The following is a 22083-nucleotide window of genomic DNA, read 5'->3' on the forward strand; positions in this document are numbered from 1 at the left end:
CCCAGCTGCTTGCGGGGCTGAGGCAGGAGAATCGCATGAACCCGGGAGGCGGAGGTTACAATGAGCTGAGATCGTTCCATTGCACTCCAGTCTGGGCAACAAGAGCGAAACTCCGTCTCAAAAAAAAAAAGAAATCCTGTTGGCTTTCTGTGCAGTTTTTTGATGCCATTGTGACACAGAGAAACTTTATTTCAGGAACTGCTTATATCAACATCAGAACTTAAGGAAATGTCTGAGTACTACTTTGATGGGAAAGGGAAAGCCTTTCGACCAATTATTGTGGCGCTAATGGCCCGAGCATGCAATATTCATCATAACAACTCCCGGTGAGCTCTTTTTTTCATTCCTTTCTTGTTTTTATATTTGGGAAGTCTTTCTTCCCGGGGTTACTTACTGTTTCATTTCCCATTTAAGAATTAGCATATACCGGCTGGGCATGGTGGCTCATGCCTATAATCCCAGCATTCTGGGAGCCTGAGGCGGGTGGATCGTGAGATCAGGAGTTTGAGACCAGCCTGGCCAACATGGTGAGACCCCGTCTCTACTAAAAATACAAAAAAAATTAGCCGGGCGTGGTGGCAGGTGCCTGTAATCCCAGCTACTTGGGAGGCTGAGGCAGGAGAATCGTTTGAATCTGGGAGGCGGAGGTTGCAGTGAGCTGAGATCACGCCATTGCACTCCAGCCTGGGCGACAGAGCGAGACTCTTGTCTTAAAAAAAAAAAAGTAGCATGTACCTAAAAATTCACTTTGTGATGTTTAGATTCTGACTTTAAGTCACTAAAGTCACTCAGGAATCTAGTCTGGCATCTTTTTTTTTTTTGAGACGGAGTCTTGCTCTGTCGCCCAGGCTGGAGTGCAGTGGTGTGATCTCGGCTCACTGGAAGCTCTGCCTCCTGGGTTCACACCATTCTCCTGCCTCAGCCTCCCAAGTAGCTGGGACTACAGGCGCCTGCCACTGTGCCCCGCTAATTTTTTGTATTTTTAGTAGAGACAGGGTTTCACCGTGTTAGCCAGGATGTGGTCTCAAGGTATGAGCCACCATGCCCGGCTAATTTTTTTTTTTTTTTTGTATTTTTAGTAGAGATGGGGTTTCACCATGTTGGCCAGGCTGGTCTCAAACTCCTGAACTCATGTGATCCACCCACCTTGGCCTCCCAAAGTGCTGGGATTACAGGCGTGAGCCACTGTGCCCAGCCCATAAAGCTCTTTTTTGATCTGGGTTCTTTAATAAAATGAGCTTGGGTTTTGCTGAGCTCTGTTGCAAGTTAGGTTCTCCAGGAGGCAGACTCTGAGATGAAGTTTAAAGGACAGGATGTTTATTCGGGATTATCCCCTGGGATTACTGACACCTGAGGGAGGGGGAGAGGATACAGGACTGGGTAGCAGGAGAAGCTGAGCTGGAATCAACAGCCTGAAACACCCTCTAGGGTGTGCAGGTAGAATGGCCCTTCATCTATCAGTCCCTGGATGTGGGCTGCCTCCCGAAGGGGCACAGCCTAAGGTGAGAGGACTCTTTGTAGCCAAGGCAATCCTTGAAGAGGCTAAGAAATGAAGGCCAACAGGTACCAACCATACCTGATACAGCAGCTGGGGCAGAGTCATGCACTGACGGGGGATCTGGGGGCATGTCTCAGAATCCACCACAACTCTGTTTTCTGGACGTGTCAAGTCTGAGTTATCTGTTGCATGGACTCAGTCTCAAAAAAAAAAAGTTTTTAAAATAAATTAATGAAATGTCTTCACAATTACATCATATAATCTATTGATGGAAATTCCAGTAGACCATGATGTACTAATACATCTCCCTAGTGTTGAACATTTGTATTATATTTCCCCTTCTCAGTAGATATTTAAGGAATGCCTAAGATTTGTCAGCACTGAATTTAATGACGCTGTAAGAATGAGTGTCAGATATTGCTTCTTAGTGGCTCCTCTCCTCTGCCCACAGCTTTCTCTGCCCTGCTGCTGGCCCTGCCTTGTCCAGTACATATTGCCATGCCCAGGTCTGGCTGCCACTTTAGCTGGGCTTTTCAAAGAGCTCTCAGTATATTTGTAGCAAGCAGTGAAATCTCTGGCATTGACCTTTAACCATTGTCAGGACCACTTTCACTTTACCGGAAGGCAGAGCAGCAAAAACGCTCCCTCTGAGCCAAACTTGAAATAACATCTCCTGCAGTCCAGAGCAGAGTTCCGCAGCCTCGGGACTGTTGAAATTTTGGGCCACATTGTTCTTTGTTGGGGGTCACTGGGGGCTGCCATGTGCATTACAGGATGTTTAGCAGCATCGCTGACTCTACCTACTAGATGCCCCCGAGTTGGTAACAATCAAAAATGCCTCCAGATACTGCCAAGTGTCCCATGGTCCCACGCAGCGCAGATTCGCCCCTGGTTGAGAATCACTGGTCTAGAGAATGTGTTTATATTTTTAATTTCTCTCTTAATATGTAATACAGTTCATTGCTCTCAGAAATAAACATGGGAAGGAAATTTTTTTTTTTACTGCTTTAAGTACTATCACCCACTGTCCCCATAATTGGAAGTTTTTCTTTTTCTTTTTCTTTTTTTTTTTTTTTTTTGAGATGGAGTCTCGCTCTGTTGCCCAGGCTGGAGTGCAATGGCACAATCCCAGCTCACTGCAACTTCCACCTCCTGGGTTCAAGCAATTCTCCTGCCTCAGCCTCCCAAGTAGCTGGGATTACAGATGCACGCTACCACGCCCAGCCAATTTTGTGTTTTTAGTAGAGATAGGATTTCGCCATGTTGGCCAGGCTGGTCTCGAACACCTGGCCTCAGGTGATTCACCGGCCTTGGCCTCCCAAAGTGCTGGGATTACAGGTGTGAGCCACCGCGCCCAGCCAATTTGAAGTTTTTTCAGCCTGCCTTATGGAAACTGTATAAATTGTTAGTTGCAGAAAACATAGGAGAATATAACAAAAGCCATTGCTAGTTTAAATAGTAAGTTCACTACTGCCCTCTCCAGGGAATGTCAGAGCTGCAGCCTTATTCTCCCTATAAGTGATTGGAGCAGGGCTTAGGAAAGTCACAGTGCAGAGACAGCGTCCGGCATGGGGACAAGTCACGGTTGTGGCGTGGGTTTGGGTGGTACAGTACCCTAGCAATTCTGCTCTCCAAGCCCCAACTTCCTGACAATACTTGCTTTCTGTGGACTCTTCTGGATCGGGCACTTAAAGGACTAAATATGTAGGTATTATTTCCATGCCACTTAAGAAGAAGGGATGAGGCTTCTGGAGAGCTGGGCCATTTGTGATTTTGCTTTTGCTGAGAAAGGCTTAGGACAGTAGGGGGAAATGGCAGCTAAAGATTCAGGAGCAGCACCATCCATGTTCAGTGCCAAGAGAGCCCCTCCAGCCTCAGTGGCCCCAGATCAGTGAACCTGACATTGAACCTGACAGGCTTGCTTGTTGGTGATGTCATAATGGAGGGATACTGTTTTAAACCTTTGACAATCAAAGTTTAATGGCTCTTAGGAGGCTTATCAGATGCTGTGTTTTTTTGTTTTTTTGTTTTTTTTTTTGCTTCTGAGGTATGTATTAAATTGGGGATTTTTGCTGGGCACAGTGGCTCACGCCTGTAATCCCAGCACTTTGGGAGGCTGAGGCAGGCGGGTCACGAGGTCAGGAGATCAAGACCATCCTGGCTAACACGGTGAAACCCTGTCTCTACTAAAAATACAAAAAATTAGCTGGGCATGGTGGCACGCACCTGTCGTCCCAGCTATTCCGGAGGCTGGGGCAAGAGAATCGCTTGAACCCGGGAGGCAGAGGTTGCAGTGAGCCGAGATCACGCCATTGCATTCCATCCTGGGAACAGAGCAAGACTCCGTCTCAAAAAAACCAAACAAAACAAAAAACATGGGGGATTTTTAAAACAAAACTTTGGAGGGGATTTTAATAAACGATAGAAGGTATATCTTAAGAAACAGAGCACGAGGGAGAAACTACTACTTACTGATTTTTATATTTTCCTTTATTAAGCTTTTCAGTTGTCCATTAAATGTTCCCTACTAGATTACGGGGAGTTCTTAACTTGAGGTTCACGGGAGTTGTGGGATGTCTGTAAACAACTTGACATTGTATGCAAAATTTTGTGTATATTTGGATTTTTTGGGGAAGGATTTCTATGGCTTACAGTTTATTCTCAAAGGGAAGTAGGGCCCTGAAAAGCTCAGGACCCCGTGTTTGTTTTCTCTCTGAATCTTGCTAACCATGGTGTCTGGGTAGAGAAAGTAGGAATCCACACAACAGTAGACTCAGACTTGACATGTCCAGAACACAGAGTTGTGGTGGATCCTGAGACTTGCCCCCAGATCCCCCGTCAGTGCACGACTCTGCCCCAGCTGCTGTACCAGGTATGGTTGGTACCTGTTGGCCTTCATTTCTTAGCCTCTTCAAGGATTGCCTTGGTTACAAAGAGTCCTCTCACCTTAGGCTGTGCCCCTTCGGGAGGCAGCCCACATCCAGGGACTGATAGATGAAGGGCCATTCTACCTGCACACCCTAGAGGGTGTTTCAGGCTGTTGATTCCAGCTCAGCTTCTCCTGCTACCCAGTCCTGTATCCTCTCCCCCTCCCTCAGGTGTCAGTAATCCCAAGGGATAATCCCGAATAAACATCCTGTCCTTTAAACTTCATCTCAGAGTCTGCCTCCTGCAGAACCTAACTTGCAACAGAGCTCAGCAAAACCCAAGCTCATTTTATTAAAGAACCCAGATCAAAAAAGAGCTTTATGGGCTGGGCACAGTGGCTCACGCCTGTAATCCCAGCACTTTGGGAGGCCAAGGTGGGTGGATCACATGAGTTCAGGAGTTTGAGGCTAGCCTGGCCAACATGGTGAAACCCCATCTCTACAAAAAATATAAAAATTAGCCAGTCGTGGTGACACACACCTATAAATCCCAGCTACTCAGGAGGCTGGGGCAGGAGAATCGCTTGAACCCAGGAGGTGGAGGCTGCAGTGAGCAGAGATTGCGCCACTGCACTCCAGCCTAGGGGAGACTCTGTCTCAAAAAAAAAAAAAAAAGAAAAGAAAAAGAGCTTTATGATAGATTTCTATAAAATTGCTTCACTCACTGAATGCAGCACAGTTATAGTGTCTGCATGTTTCTCAGACAAGCCAAACCTACCTAGCCTGCTCAGCTGCCTCATTGAAGACACTGTTATCACTGGCACCTGGATCTTGGCACCATCCATTCCTGTGTGAAACTCTTTTAGTTCTAAGAAGTGAATATCATTGCCAGCAATCAGGATAACAGACTACCCAAATTGTGCTGTACAGAGATCTGTTGATATCAATTTTGCAAATAGCCAATGGCATTGGATTACATTAGTCCAGTTTTCAAAGCTGAACTAGATGTTTAGGGGGTCAAATTATTAGACACAGTTTTCACAGTAGATAACAGGTTGAGAGTCCAGGTGTGATAACAATCCTGTATTCAGAGGAGGTAACTTTTATAGCACTATAAAAAACTAAGGAAATTACCAAAGCCTATCCCTGAAAAGACTGTAACAAAACAGCCATTTAGCACTGACTGGCTCCAGTGATTCCAAAGGTCAGGCCACTAACAACTGTAGAGCCATTCCTGGTTTCTGTGTGTTCTGTGTCACTGAGCCAGCCACTGCTGCTGCTGTTTATGGGATAGGCAAGAAGGTTGCTACCAAAGGAAATGGTTTTGTCTTTCACCTAGGAGATGGTTCTGTGGATATGTCCATAGTCACTGTTAAAACGGATCTTTGAAGTACATTCTACAGTAAGGGACACCCATTAAGCTGGAGATTTTGATGAGCAGATGGTCATCATTTCATGCATGAGTGCAAGGTCAAGCATAAGAACCTCAGTGAGAGCAAGAGGGCTGCAGGGCTTGTGACCGTGGTGTGTGCACCTTGTTCAGCACCCTCCATGCCAGGATGAGGCTGATTCTGTCTGCAAAGGAATCAACTCCTATACTTTTTTTTTTTTTTTTGTCTTGCTCTGTCACCCAGGCTGGAGTGCAGTGGCACAATCTCAGCTCATTTCAACCTCTGCCTCCCAGGTTCAAGCGATTCTTCTGCCTCAGCCTCCCAAGTAGCTGGGATTACAGGCACACACCATCACGCCCAGCTAATGTTTGTATTTTTAGTAGAGACGGGGTTTCATCATGTTGGCCAGGCTAGTCTTAAACTCCTGACCTCAAGTGATCCGCCTGTCTCCCCCTCCCAAAGTGCTGAGATTAAAGGCATGAGCCACCGCGCCTGGGCACTCCTACACTTTCCTTACCCATCCCCAATTTGAAAGAACTGAATGCTGGTTAGTCCATAGTACCCTGGACCCTATAGAGAAAGCTCTGCACAGAGCAACCTGGATAAGTTGTAGATCCAGGTATCATCATAGGGGTCTCTCTCCACATATCCCAAGATTCAGAAGCTCTTGTAATTTCTTCTTCAGTGGCAAGCAAATAAGCAATAGTGTGAACCCTGCATCATTTATGATGCAACTTTGCAGACATCCATTATATCCACAGCTAAATCTGAAAATATTCAGGGGTTGCTGCTTTTAGATACCAATTATTTTCTCTTGACATTAAAATGCTAACAAATCTATGACTGTTAGGATCAAGTTAAAAAAATTCCCACTGAAGAGAGACAGACTTTATTCTGAGCCTTACGTGTTTCTTTAGGTTTAGAAGGTGAATGAGCAGTGGCTGGGGAGGATGGCCTAGAAGTTGGAGCTCACAGGCTTCCTCCCTGCACTCTGCCATTCCTTAGATTGGAGGCGCCCTTGATACAGATCCCTCCCTACACACTGGGGGTTTACTTGCAATTTAAGACTTCACATTTTATATTAGTATGAACAGGGAAAATATATTTTGTAAAACCACATGTAAACCTCGTAAAGGATTCACTGGTAGGGTCATTATATTATTCTATCTATTTTTAGGTATGTTTGAAACTCTTCATTATTAAAAAAATTTTTTTGGCCGGGTGCGGTGGCTCACGTAATCTCAGCACTCTGGGAGGCCAAGGCAGGTGGATCATGTGAGGTCATGAGTTTGAGACCAGCCTTGCCAACATGGCAAAACCCCATCTCTACTAAAAATACAAAAATTATCTGGGCGTGGTGGCACACGCCTGTAGTCTCAGCTACCTGGGAGGCTCAGGCAGAAGAATCACTAAAACAAGGAGGCGAAGGTTGCAGTGAGTCAAGATTGCGCCCCTGCACTCTAGCCTGGGTGAAAGAGCAAGACTCCATCTCAAAAAAAAAAAAGATAATTTTTTAAATCTAATGAAGGAGGAAAGAAAAGTCCTGACAGGCATGCTGAATCATAGCATACTCTTGCAGGTGTGAAGTACAGAGGACGTAGCCAACTCTCAAGACCAAGGGCTTCATTTTCCATGCTACCTTGCCTGTCACCTCTCCCAGATCCTGGGAAAATGTGATCCACTATTTCACAGTAGGAAATAGAAATGGTGCCCAGTTTTTTGAAGGCTTGATTCAGTTTGGCATTTTGGAGATGTCATCTTAAGGACAGTGTGAGGTTTTTCTGTAATCTGTGCATTTTGGTCATCTGTCCCACCCTCATGTTATGGATAAGCAGTGGCAGCATTTCCCAGATGTAAGCTGACACACACTAAAGCTGAACTGGATAAAAAATACATCAGGTAAAACTATGGAACATCTGAAATATGATGTATATTCTACGTAGAAGCTGTGTTACAGTACCAAATAACATTTCAGTTTCATCCTGATTTCATCAGTCAACAATTTAGCCATGCAAAATGACATTTTTTATTCTATTTATTTATTTATTCGGAGACAGAGTCTCGCTCTACCCCCCAGGCTGGAGTACAGTGGTGCAAGTCTCAGCTCACTGCAACCTCCACCTCCCAGGTTCAAGTGATTCTCCTGCCTCAGCCTCCCAAGTAGCTGGGATTACAGGCACCCACTACCATGCCTGGCTAGTTTTTGTATTTTTAGTGGAGACGTGGTTTCGTCATGTTGGCCAGGCTGGTCTCGAACTCCTGACCTCAGGTGATCCTCCCGCCTCGGCGTCCCAAAGCGCTGGGATTATGGGCATGAGCCACTGCGCCAGGCGCAAAATGACATTTTTAGATGGATATATAGTCTATGAAATTTCAAAATATTTTAAGAAATCTTTGTTGTAATAATAGCTTCAGATTACCAAAACAACTCTAGTATCTTGGTGAGTGCTGCCAATTTCATTGCAACTTCTCAGCAGGAGCCCCGTCTGCTGATGTAATTTATCATAATGGAAGTGGTGCCCAACTTCTGAATGCATGAGAAAGGCTAGACCTTACCTGTTGTTTTAAGGTAAGGTCTACTGCTAACTAGTAGGAGGTGTCTAATTTATTAGACTGAAATTCACTTGCAAAAATATTCTAAAAGCCTTATATTAAAAAAAAACTGTAAAAGTTTATATCTTTTCCTGTGCATTCAACTCAAAGAAGATAGGGCCTAGTAAATTTACCTGAAAAATATTTAAGTATTCTAATATAAAAACTGAATCTCACTGAGGGATTCAGGTGGCTTAAAACTCACCTGAACCCTGAACCTCTATTTTCTCATTTACTGAAGTTTATTGGGGTTTTTGGTTTTTTTGTGTTTTTTTGAAATGAAGTCTCTGTCACCCAGGCTGGAGTGCAGTGGCATAATCTCGGCTCACTGCAACCTCCACTTCCCGGCTCAAGTGATTCTCCTGCATCAGCCTCTCAAGTAGCTGGGATTACAGATGCACACCACCATGCCCGACTAATCTTTGTATTTTAAGTAGAGTTGGAGTTTCACCCTGTTGTCCAGGCTGGTCTCGAACTCCTGACCTCAAGTGATCCGCCCGCCTCAGCCTTCCAGAGTGCTGGGATTACAGGCAGGAACCTGTAACTGTGCCTAGACTACAGAAGTGGTTTTTATATGCTAATTTGTCCCTACCCTCCACTGCTTTTGTTTTAATACTCCCCCCTTAGAAGAATTTGTTGTGATCTAGACATATTAAGAAGTTGTAACTGAAATATTAATAAAGAATGAGGCCAGGCGTGGTGGCTCACACCTGTAATCCCAGCACTTTGGGAAGCTGAGGTGGGTGGATCACCTGAAGTCAGGAATTCAAGACCAGCCTGGTCAACATGGTGAAACCCCATCTCTACTAAAAATACAAACATTAGCTGGATGTGGTGGTGTGCACATGTAATCCAAGCTACTTGGGAGGCTAAGGCAGGAGAATGGCTTGAACCCGGGAGGCAGAGGTTGTAGTGAGCCGAGATCACACCATTGCACTCCAGCCTGGGCAATAAGAGTGAAATTCCATCTCAAAAAAAAAAAAAAAAAAGGAATGAGTAGCACTGTAGACATGATTTCCAGGCTGAGAGCAGTTGAAAGGGTCTAGGGTTTAGTTCTAAGGCTGCTGGTAAGAGGAGCCAGCGTGACATCATATTTTAAAATTATATGTAAAGCAAGATCAAAAGCTTTCCTCATGCTGATTTAGTGTCGATAGTTAAATTACAGCACCTTTTATGTAGTTATACTTCATTTTTCATTGCTTTCTGCCGGGTCTGAGGAATTGGAATGAGCATTACCTTGTGCAGATGTTCAGATTCGATTTTTAAAGAAAAAGTCATATTTCAGAATCCCTCTCCCTTTTTTCCCCTCTAAGATACAACCTGATGGTATTTGAAAATAAGCATTTGGAATAAGTGCAACATTTGGTTAGTGTGTGTTTAAATGAGGATATGTTTTAGGTTCCAAATGGTTATTTCGCCAGTTTGATTTTCTTGAAATTTAGTTTTTAAAAATTGCCATAGATGATGGTGGTAATAATGATTAAAATGAAATGGGGGACATTCCCTCTGAACTGTAAAATTTATATCTGTGTCCTGTCTTCTTGAGCCTACTTATCCTATAGTTTGTGTTAAACTTGGGAAATAAAAGTTTAAATTTCTAATGAGAAGGTTAAATGTGAGTTGGAAGAAAGTTTTACAAACATCTTCTGTTGGTTACTGAGGTTGTCATACTAAACGTTTAATTTAAGACATTACTACGCGGGGTGCGGTGGCTTACGCCTGTAATCCACACTTTGGGAGGCCAAGGCAGGCGGATCACTTGAGGTCAGGAGTTCGAGACCAACCTAGCCAACATGGTGAAACCCCATCTCTACTAAAAATATAAAATTTAGCTGGGTGTGGTGGTGTATGCCTGTAGTCCCAGCTACTCATGGAGGCTGAAGTGGGAGAATCACTTGAACCTGGGAGGCGAAGGTTGTGAGCCAATATTGCACCACTGCACTCCAGCCTGGGTGACAGAGCGAGACCCTGTCTCAAAAACAAAAAAGACAGTATTAAAAGCCTTGAACATTGAGACAGTTGAGTCTTTAAAATACTTTTAAAAAATGCTTCTCACCTATCTTCCCTATCCACCCCAAAATTTAATTGTAAACTTATAAACTTAAACACCTGACCAAGAACACTGTTATAAAGATGATTCTTCAGCCCAATAAGATCAGCCAGACTTCTGATCGTTTACTGTTTTTTTGGCTAATGGTACAATTTCTACTTCTTCAATGGGGAATTCATAAAATGTAGTTGTGGCAGGGTTTCTCATACATTTGTAAATGTATAGAAATGGCTGTGTGGTGAAGCCAGAGTTTTTATACCGTTTCTCTTAGAGAAATAACATTCTTTATCCTAGATCCGATGTCCAGTTTTCACAAGCTGATTGCTGAGAAGGTTCTAGGCGGCGTCTGTTAAAAAGCATTGCTTTCTGTTAATTAGACATGTGCAAGCCAGCCAGCGCGCCATAGCCTTAATTGCAGAAATGATCCACACTGCTAGTCTGGTTCACGATGACGTTATTGACGATGCAAGTTCTCGAAGAGGAAAACACACAGTTAATAAGATCTGGGGTGAAAAGAAGGTATGGTTTTTTGGTTTTTTTAAAATCTCTCTTACTGAATCACACACTTTTCGGACCGCATTTGTTTCTCAGATTTGTCTCATTAAAAATATGCTTGCTCAAATGTAATGTGGTCTTCTGAATTTCAAAAAAGTATTCATGTCTTGTCCAAATACAGATATTTGATAAATAAATAATAAAAAATACCATGGAAAAATAAACTTAGTATTTCTAATAGAATTCCTTTGGTTATAAGGAAAGGGATTTTCATGGGTGTCCAAAAAATGTATTTCATGAGGAATCATACGTTTTACTTTTGGGCTTAGATTACCCAGATTCAGTTTAATTTTTTAAACATTTGTATAATTGAGTGCTGCATATAAATGCCAAAGCAAACAAATAAAACTAATAAAAGAAAAAAGAAACCTCAGAGAGATACTGTTCTGCCATGAAAATTCTGTCTTTTGAAATAGAAGTTCTGTAATTGGGTTTGGTTCATATATGTATATATTAAAGCATATTTCTATATTATTAGCATTGGGAATATGGGAAACAGGGACTTGGTTTGAGGATGCATAGATCCTGGGTTGAAGGATGAGAATAAAGTTGAACAGATGAGAATGAAAATGCACAGGCATCCATCGCCATCACCACACACGTGCTCTACAAACAAAAAGTTTGTGCAGGCCAGGCGCAGTGGCTCATGCCTGTAATCCCAGCACTTTGGGAGGCTGAGGTGGGTGGATCACCTGAGGTCAGGAGTTCGAGACCAGCCTGGCCAACAAGGCAAAACCCTGTCACCACTAAAAAAACACAAAAATTAGCCAGCGTACACCTGTAATCTCAGCTACTCAGGAGGCTTAGGCAGGAGAATCGCTTGAACCTGGGAGAGGGAGGTTGCAGTGAGCCAATATCACACTACTGCACTCCAGCCTGGGCAACAGAGTGAGACTCCATTTCAAAAAAAAAAAAAAAAGTTTGTGCAAACAACTACCCCACCCTCACCTCCTTTTCTCTCATAGATTTATAGTATTCCTGGTTCATTCCTATTTAATTCTCCTTATTAAAAGAAGAGATATATGTATACACACACACACACACACACACACACATACATATATATATGTTTATTGTTATCTTCACATGCTGGTTTTATTTGAACATAAATGACTGTTTTGAAATCGAGTCTTGCAATTTCATTTATATGCCTTTTATTTCAAATTTTAGATTAAAAGGTTTTACGTCCTGTTGACTAAATTCTGTACATCAGAATGTTGGCCAAAAAGCAGATGGCGTTTAGATTTGGAGAGGATGTGGGTAACTCTATGACCCATCCCTGCCGTCAGCTGTATCTGTTTTCAGGCATAGCCAGTCCTAAAGCCTTATGTGGAGCCTTGGGCGGGGGAAGAGGATCAAGAGAACAAATGATGGTCTCCGCCTTGGCTAGCCCCTGTGTGTCTGCCTCTGCCACTGGGGACCTCTTTCTGAGGGCAGGTCAAGGACACATGTGCCGCCTTCACCTGCCTCTTTCAGTTCTGACAGCCATCTGCTTAGCACAGGGCTACTTGCCAGTTCCTACCTGTTTCTGCCTCTGACCCACAACTGCTATGTTACCGGTACAAAACCCCCCACACACAGTGCCCCCTCGGTGAGCCCTTGTTAGGCCTGGCCTGGGCTTCCTAGCACTTCTTTCCTTTAACTCCCACCCCTGGCCGTCACAGTCCTGTGGCTTCCATGTCATATGCTGGACCTTTGGTCTCTAGGATCTCCCCGGCCAGGTGAAGAAGGAACTAAAGGCCAAAGGATCCCGAGCCTTGAGCTGCTAATGATGTAGGGGCTGGGTCGGGGAATGTAAGTGGGTACCTATATATCATAATTTGTAAAATGACTTTATAGGCATATACTTACATCAGGATGTCTTACATAATATGTATATTATATAAAGTGGTGATTAATTGGTAAACACAATGAACATCACTGTTTAGATACTGAAGAACCTAAGACAATAAGTACCTAAATAGTTATGTTAAAAATTCTGTGAACTCTAGCCTTTATGACTAATTACTACAGAATGTAACACTTACGGCTGGGTGTGGTGGCTCACGCCTGTAATCCTAGCACTTTGGGAGGCCGAGGCAGTTGGATCACTTGGGGCCAGGAGTTCGAGACCAGCCTGGCCAACATGGTGAAACCCCATCTCTAGTAAAAATACAAAAATACCTGGGCGTGGTGGTGTACGCTTGTAGTCCCAGCTACTCATGAGGCTGAGGTGGGGGGATTGCTTGAACCCAGGAGGAAGAGTCTGCAGTGAGCCGAGGTCATGCCACTGTACTCAAGCCTGGGCAACAGAGCAAGACTCTTTCTCAAAAAAAAAAAAAAGAATGTAATATATATCTTTAAATATGCAAATTAATGTGATATATAGGGTGTATTTGGTTATAGCATATAATTCAACTATTTATGCAGTAGTTTATAACTAGTTGCTAATACAGTGTAGACATCCATCACAGTCTAAAGAAGACTGGAAATATGTTGATTGCTTAGTGTTCAATGGAAAAACTTTTTTTTTTTTTTGTCTAGGAATGAGGGGCAGTGTCACATAGTACAAAAAGCATTTCACTTGGAGCCAAAATTCTTTGGTTTAATTTTTATTGAAAATAACATGTATCGTGCCATGCTCTGGGGTGTGCTCAGTACTAGCTGAGATGATTCCTAGTCTGAGCTCCCACTCCACTCCACCCTCCCCACTGCCCTGGGAGCATAGAGACTAGAGCATCACTGACTGGTACGCAAGGTGTGATGGTCGCAGCATGCATGGGTGTTGTACACGCACAAAAGGGAGGCATCTGACCAGACTGAGGGATCGGGGGGAACTTCTTAGAGGTGGCATCTGAACCAATTATGCAAATAAGTCCACTCAGTGAAGAAGGGGGCAGAACTTTTTGAGCAGAAGGAACAGTAAGTGGAAAGGCACAAAGGAAGAATGAACATCCAGTGTAGTGAAACTGAAGGCAGCTGCATTTTGGTGGGGCTGGTGAGTGAAGCTGCTCTCCCTCTCCAGGCATTGATTTCTTCAGGTGTCAACTGGGGAGATGGACATGGTCATCTCTGAGAGCCAATACAGTTCAAGTACTGTCCCAAATCTGTAACCGATTATTAGAAACTGGGAAGAGTGACATGGTCATCTCTGAGAGCCAGTCCAGTTCAAACACTGTCCCAAATCTGTAACTGATTATTACGAACTGGGAAGTGACATGGTCATCTCTGAGAGCCAGTCCAGTTCAAACACTGTTCCAAATCTGTAACTGATTGTTACGGACTCCTGTTGAGGAAGAAGAAGGTAAAAAACCCTGCATCCAAGATGAGCCCCCACTTCCACGAAGCTCCCTTCCAGTCAGTTTCATCATTGGCTCTACTGCTCTGATGGATTTTTCAGAACGTTCTGTTTTCCCCCTGTCTTTTTCTAGGCTGTTCTTGCTGGAGATTTAATTCTTTCTGCAGCATCTATAGCTCTGGCACGAATTGGAAATACAACTGTTATATCTATTTTAACCCAAGTTATTGAAGATTTGGTGCGTGGTACGTTGATTCTGATTTTTCTTCTTTGTTATTCAACCCTGGTGTTTAGCCAGGCAATAAAGCCACCTCTCAAATGACTCCTTTCCTTCTTTATAGGTGAATTTCTTCAGCTCGGGTCAAAAGAAAATGAGAATGAAAGATTTGCACACTACCTTGAGAAGACATTCAAGAAGACCGCCAGCCTGATAGCCAACAGTTGTAAAGCAGTATGTACGTTCTGTCTTTCTTCAAGTTAAAGCCTCATAGCTCTTTTTTGGGAGCTAATTTTCCTAGAAAATATTTCGGTGAAGAATCTTAAAATAGTACCCAAAAATCCCAAGAGGTTAATGAGGAAAAGAATGACATCCCCAAACAATAGAGGACTTCTGCTGTGTTTTCATTTTTGCCATCTTCTTTTGGTATGCAGGCGTTGACTTTTCATCTTTTCTTCCCAAGAATTCAATCAAAATAAGCTTTCCCGCACCTTCCCCAATCTGATTGCCAAACTGTATCATTTTGAACAATTTATCATAATTTCTCTAATGATTGATATCACACACACTCTTTCTGACACTTCACCTTTTAGAAATGAAGTGCTCTGTTCTTTAATATAATATTTACTCAGGAAAAGATATCTGTTAGATTGTACTAGCATTCTATGAACTTTTTTTTGTTTTTTTGTTTTTTGTGTTTTTTTGAGACAGAGTCTTTTGCTGTGTGGCCCAGGCTACAAAGCAGTGGTGTGATCTTGGCTCACTACAACCTCCACCTCCCAGGTTCAGGCAATTCTCCTGCCTCAGCTTCCCTAGTAGCTGGGACCACAGGTGTGCGCCATCACACCCAGCTAATTTTTGTATTTTTCATAGGGATGGGGGTTTGCCATGTTGGCCGGGCTGGTCTCAAACTCCTGCCCTCAAGTGATCCACCCACCTTGGCCCTGCAAAGTACTGGGATTACAGGCATGAGCCATTGCACCTGGCCAATACATTGCACCTGGCCAATCCTTCTAATATTTTTACATGAAATATAAACAAGTCCTATTTCTTCAGAGTACAAATTGAGTATAAGCCATAACTGTTTTTCCCCTTGCTTTCTCCCTCCCTCCGCTGTGCATACACATGTATACATTTTTTTTTTAATGAGTAATACCTTTAATCCGTAGACAAATGTGTGGTATTCATCGTTAGTCCAAGAATGAAAAGCAGTCTCTCCATAGAATTGTTTATCTGCCCATCTCTAAGCCTGACAGATACACAGAGACAAAACCTGGACAAATGACATTCCCATGTAATTACAGCCACAAAATAAGGAAGACCTGTAAGGGTCGCATGTCAATTGCTGTCATGATAGACTCCTAACATAATTAACAGGTAAAGAGAGCTTTTGCTCAGACCTCTCAGATGAAAAAGTCTCTTGCTGTTAGTGTCTCTGTTTTGAAAAGTGTCAAGAAATGTATAATTGCAAGGCAGAAAAGAATGAGGACAATCTTTTCTTCCTAAAAAGACCTAATAGAAACTTTAAGGAATGTGAATTATGTAGAACATGCTAGCCACAGTCTCGACCACTTTTGTCTTTTTATTAAAAGGGCTATTATGTTTTTATTTCCAAGAAATTATGTGGGTTTTTTTTTTAAAGTGAGATGGAAGAAAGTATAGACACGAGATGCTAAATAAGAGAATAGCCTATTTTAAGTGGGTGCTCTAACACTTTTACAGTAATCCTTTACATATTATCATGCCCTTGATGGCCCAACTCTCCCTGAAGGTCAGGATCCATCCTCTTAACACATTAGGGTGCCTTAATATTACTTACTAATATTTATCCTTAAGAGGATGTGTTAAGTGAGGCTCATTGATAATTTCACAATTTGAGACTGCAAACTTAGAAGCATTAGCATGGTCAGGCAAGGTGGCTCACACCTGTAATCCCAGCATTTAGGGAGACTGAGGCGGAAGGTTTGCTTGTGACCAGAAGTTCAAGACCAACCTAGGCAACATAGCAAGATCCCCATCTCTACTTAAAAATAATGTTTAAAAAATAAAGTCTTAGAAGCATTAGTAGTAGTGAGACTATTGGAATTGGAAACACCAAGACTTACTGTCTGCACCATGCAGACATCCTGCAGGCACGGGGTGGGGCGGCACCAAATTGGAGCTAGCACAGAAATTCACTCAGTGATGGAAGCTTACAAAGGGTCCAAAGAAATGGACCTGAGTCATGATAGAGAGGTTTCCTTGTGGTCACTGTTTTCTGTTTAAGAAGCCAAAGATAATGCACAGGAATTCTTTTATAAAGATATGCACCTCATTCTTCAAAGATTAGCAGCTGAACGAACAGTGAACATGTTAACGTGGCTGGACCCTTATTAAAAATGAAATGTTTCATGCTGCCCACTAGGGGGCATGCTGGCATCGTCCCAGCACTACCTCCTTTTCATGTGGTTTATTCCTAAACTCCACAGCTCTTAGAATAATAAAGCAAAATGATAGTGTGAGCTATTTGAATAAAAGTTTCTATATTTAAGTGCCTATGGGTGGAAATATTCCAGAGGTGTTATGGATTCAAAATGGCTATTTTTACGTACTCTTGGTATTTAAAATGCAAAGCCATGCGAGCTCCAAATAAATGCATGCAAAGCAAATTAGACACACCAAAAAGAGGGGAGGAGGAGAACTGAAAGAGCAGAATTATTACAGAAGAAGAACTAATGGGATTGCAAAATGTATTGAGAATTGGAGGGAAACTTACAAGCTGCATTCTACTAAGGATACCATTTCTTCATCTCCCTTCCTTTTTTTAGTGAAAATAATATTAAAATCTAAGAGAGGGCTGTCTAGGGGGATTGTTTTGTGATTGACTGATATTAAAATAGAATCCATTTTAGGCCGGGCACGGTGGCTCACACCTGTAATCCTAACACTTTAGGAGGCCGAGGCGAGTGGATCACTTTAGTCCAGGATTTCAAGACCAGCCTGGCCAACATGGCAAAACCCCGTCTGTACTAAAAATACAAAAATTAGCCGGGCGTGGTGGTGCACGCCTGTAATGCCAGCTACTTGGGAAGCTGAGGCAGGAGAACCGCTTGAACCCGGGAGGTGGAGGTTGCAGTGAGCCAAGATCACTCCACTGCATTCCAGCCTGGGCAATAGAGCGAGAGTCTCTCAAAAAAAAAACAAACAAACCAGAATTCATGTTATTATCAAAAGATGACTTATTTATTTACATACTTACTCACTTGCAAAATACATTTTGTACTCATGCAAAATACATTTTGTAGTTTACTAATAAAGACAGTGGCTTGTTTCCCAGGAAATCTGGTGGAAATGAGACCTGAGAGGTCAGAGGGCCTGTCCAGTTGTTGTTAAGCCAGACAGTAGCTGAGTTGAGACTTGAACCCAGAGCTGGGTATGGTAATCCTGCCTTGTTTCTCTCTCTCTCTCTCTCTTTTTTTTTTTTTTTCTGAATTTCTATTTTCTCCAGGGCTGCTTGTGGCCTGGAATTAATGGGCTCTCTTCCTATTACTTGATTTTCAAAGCCTCAGAGTACCACTACAGAATTGCATATTGTGGGTCACATTAGCAGAACACTCTTTTTTTTTTTTTTTAATTCATTTTTTTGAGATGGAGTCTCGCTCTGTTGCCCAGGCTGGAGCGCAGTGGCATGATCTCAGCTCACTGCAACCTCCACCTCCCAGGTTCAAGTGATTCTCCCACCTCAGCCTCCCGAGTAGCTGGGATTACAGGTGCACACCACCACATGCCACACCTGGCCTCTTTTTTTTTTACAATATTCATATCTATCTATAGGCCTCATTCAGATCTTGCCAGTTGTGAACTGTTATAACGAAAGGGAAAACATATTTTTCTGTTCCAGCATCCAGTCCAGGATTTCACGTTGCATTTTGCTGTCATGACTCTGTAGTCTCTTGTCATCTAGAACAGTCTTTCTTTGCCTCTCATTACCTTGGTATTTGGAAGAGTGCAGGCCAGTTATGTTGTTGAGCCTCTCAGTCGGGCTTCTCTGATACTTCTCAAGATTCGATCCAGGTTATGAATATTTGGCAGGAATACCACAAGAGCGGTGCTGTCCTCAGCTCCTCATACCAGGAGGCGCGTGCTGTCTTGTCTGTCCCATTACTGGTGATGCATGCCTGGATCGCTTGATTAGGATACTGTCGGGCCGGGCACAGTGGCTCACGCCTGTAATCCCAGCACTTTGGAAGGCCGAGGTGGGCAGATTACCTGAGGTCAAGAGTTCAAGACCAGCCTGGCCAACATGGTAAAACCCCATCTCTACTAAAATTATAAAAAATTAGCTGGGCATGGTGGCGGGCACCTGTAATCTCAGCACTTTGGGAGGCCGAGGCAGGTAGATCACCTGAGGTCAAGAGTTTGACAAGCGTGGCCAACATAGTGAAACCATGTCTCTACTAAAAATACAAAAATTAGCCGGGCGTAGTGGCAGGCGCCTATAATCCCAGCTACTCTGGAGGCTGATACAGGAGAATTGCTTGAATCCGGGAGGCGGAGGTTGCAGTGAGCCGAGATTGCACCATTGCACTCAAGCCTGGGCAACAAGAGTGAAACTCCATCTCAAAAAAAAAAGATACTGTCTGCCAGGTTTCTTCAATCTAAAATTACTATTTTAACCTATTTTGGGCAAAGTATTTTCAGATTATGTAAATATTATTCTGATGGTTGTCAAATGGCTGTTTTTCTATTTTCATCATTTCTTCTATATCACTCTTCTACAAGAAAGTTGGTATCCTATTTTTTTTGTTATTATTATTTCATTCTCAAAAGAGCTGAAGAGTTGGTATTCCATTGTAAGGAAGCTCTTAACTGTATGGGCTCTTGGATTCTTATTTTATTCTGTATCTTTTTTTTTTTTTTTTTTTTTTGAGCCAGGGTATCACTCTGTCACCCACGCTGGAGTGCAGTGGTGCAATCTCAGCTCACTGCAACCTCCACCTCCCGGGCTCAGGTGATCCTCCCACCTCAGCCTCCTGAGTAGCTGGGATTACATGCGGCTGCCACCATACCCGGATGACTTTTTTGTATTTTTAGTAGAGACGGGGTTTTGCCATTTTGCCCAGGCTGGTCTCAAACTCCTGGCCTCAAGTGATCGCCCACCTCGGCCTCCCAAAGTGCTGGGATTATAGGCGTGAGTCACCGTGCCCAGCCATCTTATTTTATTCTGTAGATTATAACACTGTCATTATTTTAATACTCAATTATCCAACGTATGGCCAGTAGGGGAGGCCCTTTAACCTGGCTCTGTGTCCTCCATCATTTTTTCAGCACCCCATTTCTGGCAGGAGATATTCAGCCCTGTTATTCACTGTTCTCCAAGGAGCCCACATTCCTTTTGGTGGAAAATGGTGTTAAGAAACCAGAATTTGAGTACTGGGTGTCATCGTTTCTAGACCCACTCAATGGACAGAGCTAGGAAATACATGTATGTATTATATGTAATGTAGGTAGATACGTGTATATCTTTCTGTACCCATCCATACTTATTCAAAACCACGAGGTATCAAACAGATAGTTCCAAATCCATCTAACACCACAGGATTTGTGGTTTATTCCAGGATTCCATCTTTCCATATTTGTAACCCCCTTCCCAAACAGTGAGAGACCTGGCTCCTCTTCTCCGCGGTGTATTTATTTGCACAATCTGAGAATATACCATAGGAGTTTACAAATTCATGACTCATATCTCTGTGAAAAACAAACCCAGTAGCTAGAATTCAGTATTTATCATTCCTTTTGTCTTGGGCCTGAGGATAATAGAATCAAAGCACTGTTCAAAAGTTACCTTTCTCTACGTATCAGTGTGGTTGTGTTATTATTTGGAATATATTAACCCATTTATGCCTAGTGTTCCATTATTGGAATGCTAAGCTTGTGGAGTTATTTCTATCCTACTGCTCAAGGTCATTACCAAGGTCTGATTTTTCACAAAACAAATTTGCAACCTCCAGCATAAATGGGTTAATAGTTGGTTCCTTTTTTTTTTTTTTTTTTTTTTTTTTGAGACGGAGTCTTGCTCTTTCGCCCAGGCCGGAGTGCAGTGGCACTATCTCAGCTCACTGCAAGCTCTGCCTCCCGGGTTCACGCCATTCTCCTGCCTCAGCCTCCCGAGTAGCTGGGACTACAGGTGCCCGCTACCACGCCCGGCTAATTTTTTGTATTTTTAGTAGAGATGGGGTTTCATGGTGTTAGCCAGGATGGTCTCGATCTCCTGACCTCGTGATCCGCCCACCTCGGCCTCCCAAAGTGCTGGGATTACAGGTGTGAGCCACCGCGCCCAGCCTAGTTGGATTCATTTTTATTCCACTTTAGGGATTCCCTCTCATTCTTGCTGATTTCGTGTTTTGGTTTTGAGCGTTTTGTTATTGTTGCTGTTGTTTTGAATGTTTGAAACAACGTGGCTGGGCACAGTGTCTCATGCCTGTAATCCTAGCACTTTGGGAGGCCAAGGCAGATGGATTGCTTGAGCCCAGGAGTTTGAGACCAGCCTGGGCAACATGGCGAAACCTCTGTCTACAAGGAATACAAAAATTAGCTGGGTGTGGTAGTGCACACCTGAAGTCCCAGCTACCTGGGAGGCTGAGGTGGGAGGATCACCTGAGCCCTGGGAGGTCGAGGCTGCAGTGAGCTGTGATCACACCACTGCACTCCAGCCTGGCAACAGAGTGAGACTCTGTCTAAAAAAATAATAATAATAAAAAAAATAAAAGACATTAATGTAGCTCCAAAAGTCAGAACTATACAATACAGTAACTCTCCCTTTTGCCCTGTTTTCTTCCCCTACCCCCTTGTAGGTAAGCAGTCTCGTTCACTTCTGGTTCCTCCTTCCTGGGTTTCGTTTAGCACAAACAGGCAGACACAAGTATGCTATCTTCCCTTCTTTCTCACAGCAAGAAGTAGTACCCTAGACTACTCTGCTTTCCTTTTGCATTTCTTCAGTTAACAATTTATTAGGAAAATGATTCCACATTGGTTTGTAGGATCTTCCTCATTTTTAAAACCACTGTATCAGGGCTGGGCTTGTAATCCCAGCACTTTGGGAGGCTGAGGCGGCCGAATCACGAGGTCAGGAGTTCGAGACCAGCCTGGCCAACATGGTGAAACCCCTTCTCCACTAAAAATACAAAAATTAGCTGGGCGTGGTGGCACACACCTGTAATCCCAGCACTTTGGGAGGCCAAAGCAGGCGGATCACTTGAGACCAGAGTTCAAGGCCAGGCCGGCCAACATGGTGGAACCCCATCTCTACTAAAAGTACAAAAATTAGCCAGGTATGGTGGTGGGTGCCTGTAATCCCAGCTACTCGGGAGGCTGAGGCACAAGAATAGCTTGAACCCGGGAGGTGGAGGTTGTAGTGAGCCAAGATCACGTCACTGCACTCCAGCATGGGCGACAAAGTGAGACTCCATCTCAAAAAAATTAATAAATAAATAATTTAAAAATTTTTTTAAAAGCCTCTGTATCAGATCCCATTATGTGGACATAGCATGGTTTATTCAGCCAATCTTCTATACATGGGCATTTAGGTTTCCAGTTTTACAATTACAAACACTACTGCAAGGGCTGATCGTGCATAAACCTATTTTTGTGTTGTGAG

The 22083-nt window shown here is 43.3% G+C and overlaps 1 protein-coding gene and 1 pseudogene across 7 annotated transcripts in view; both read left to right on the top strand.

Annotated features, from left to right (window-relative positions):
* Positions 1 to 22083, top strand: part of PDSS1 (decaprenyl diphosphate synthase subunit 1) — a 49098-nt gene that overhangs the window by 11742 nt on the left and 15273 nt on the right. For 4 of the 7 annotated variants that reach the window (NM_014317.5, XM_024447922.2, XM_017016011.3 and 1 more), the window contains 4 exons: positions 196 to 326; positions 10776 to 10917; positions 14364 to 14475; positions 14572 to 14681. In NM_014317.5, coding sequence (NP_055132.2) covers positions 196 to 326; positions 10776 to 10917; positions 14364 to 14475; positions 14572 to 14681 — 495 coding nt within the window. Of the gene's footprint in view, positions 1 to 195; positions 327 to 10692; positions 10918 to 14363; positions 14476 to 14571; positions 14686 to 22083 lie in introns of all 7 variants that reach the window. The other 3 variants (NM_001321978.2, XM_047424933.1, NM_001321979.2) reach the window with 2 other exon arrangements.
* HSPA8P3 (heat shock protein family A (Hsp70) member 8 pseudogene 3) lies at positions 5190 to 6613 on the top strand (annotated as a pseudogene).

Source organism: Homo sapiens, chromosome 10 (genome assembly GCF_000001405.40).
Source record: "Homo sapiens chromosome 10, GRCh38.p14 Primary Assembly".
NCBI classification, from domain to species: domain Eukaryota; kingdom Metazoa; phylum Chordata; class Mammalia; order Primates; family Hominidae; genus Homo; species Homo sapiens.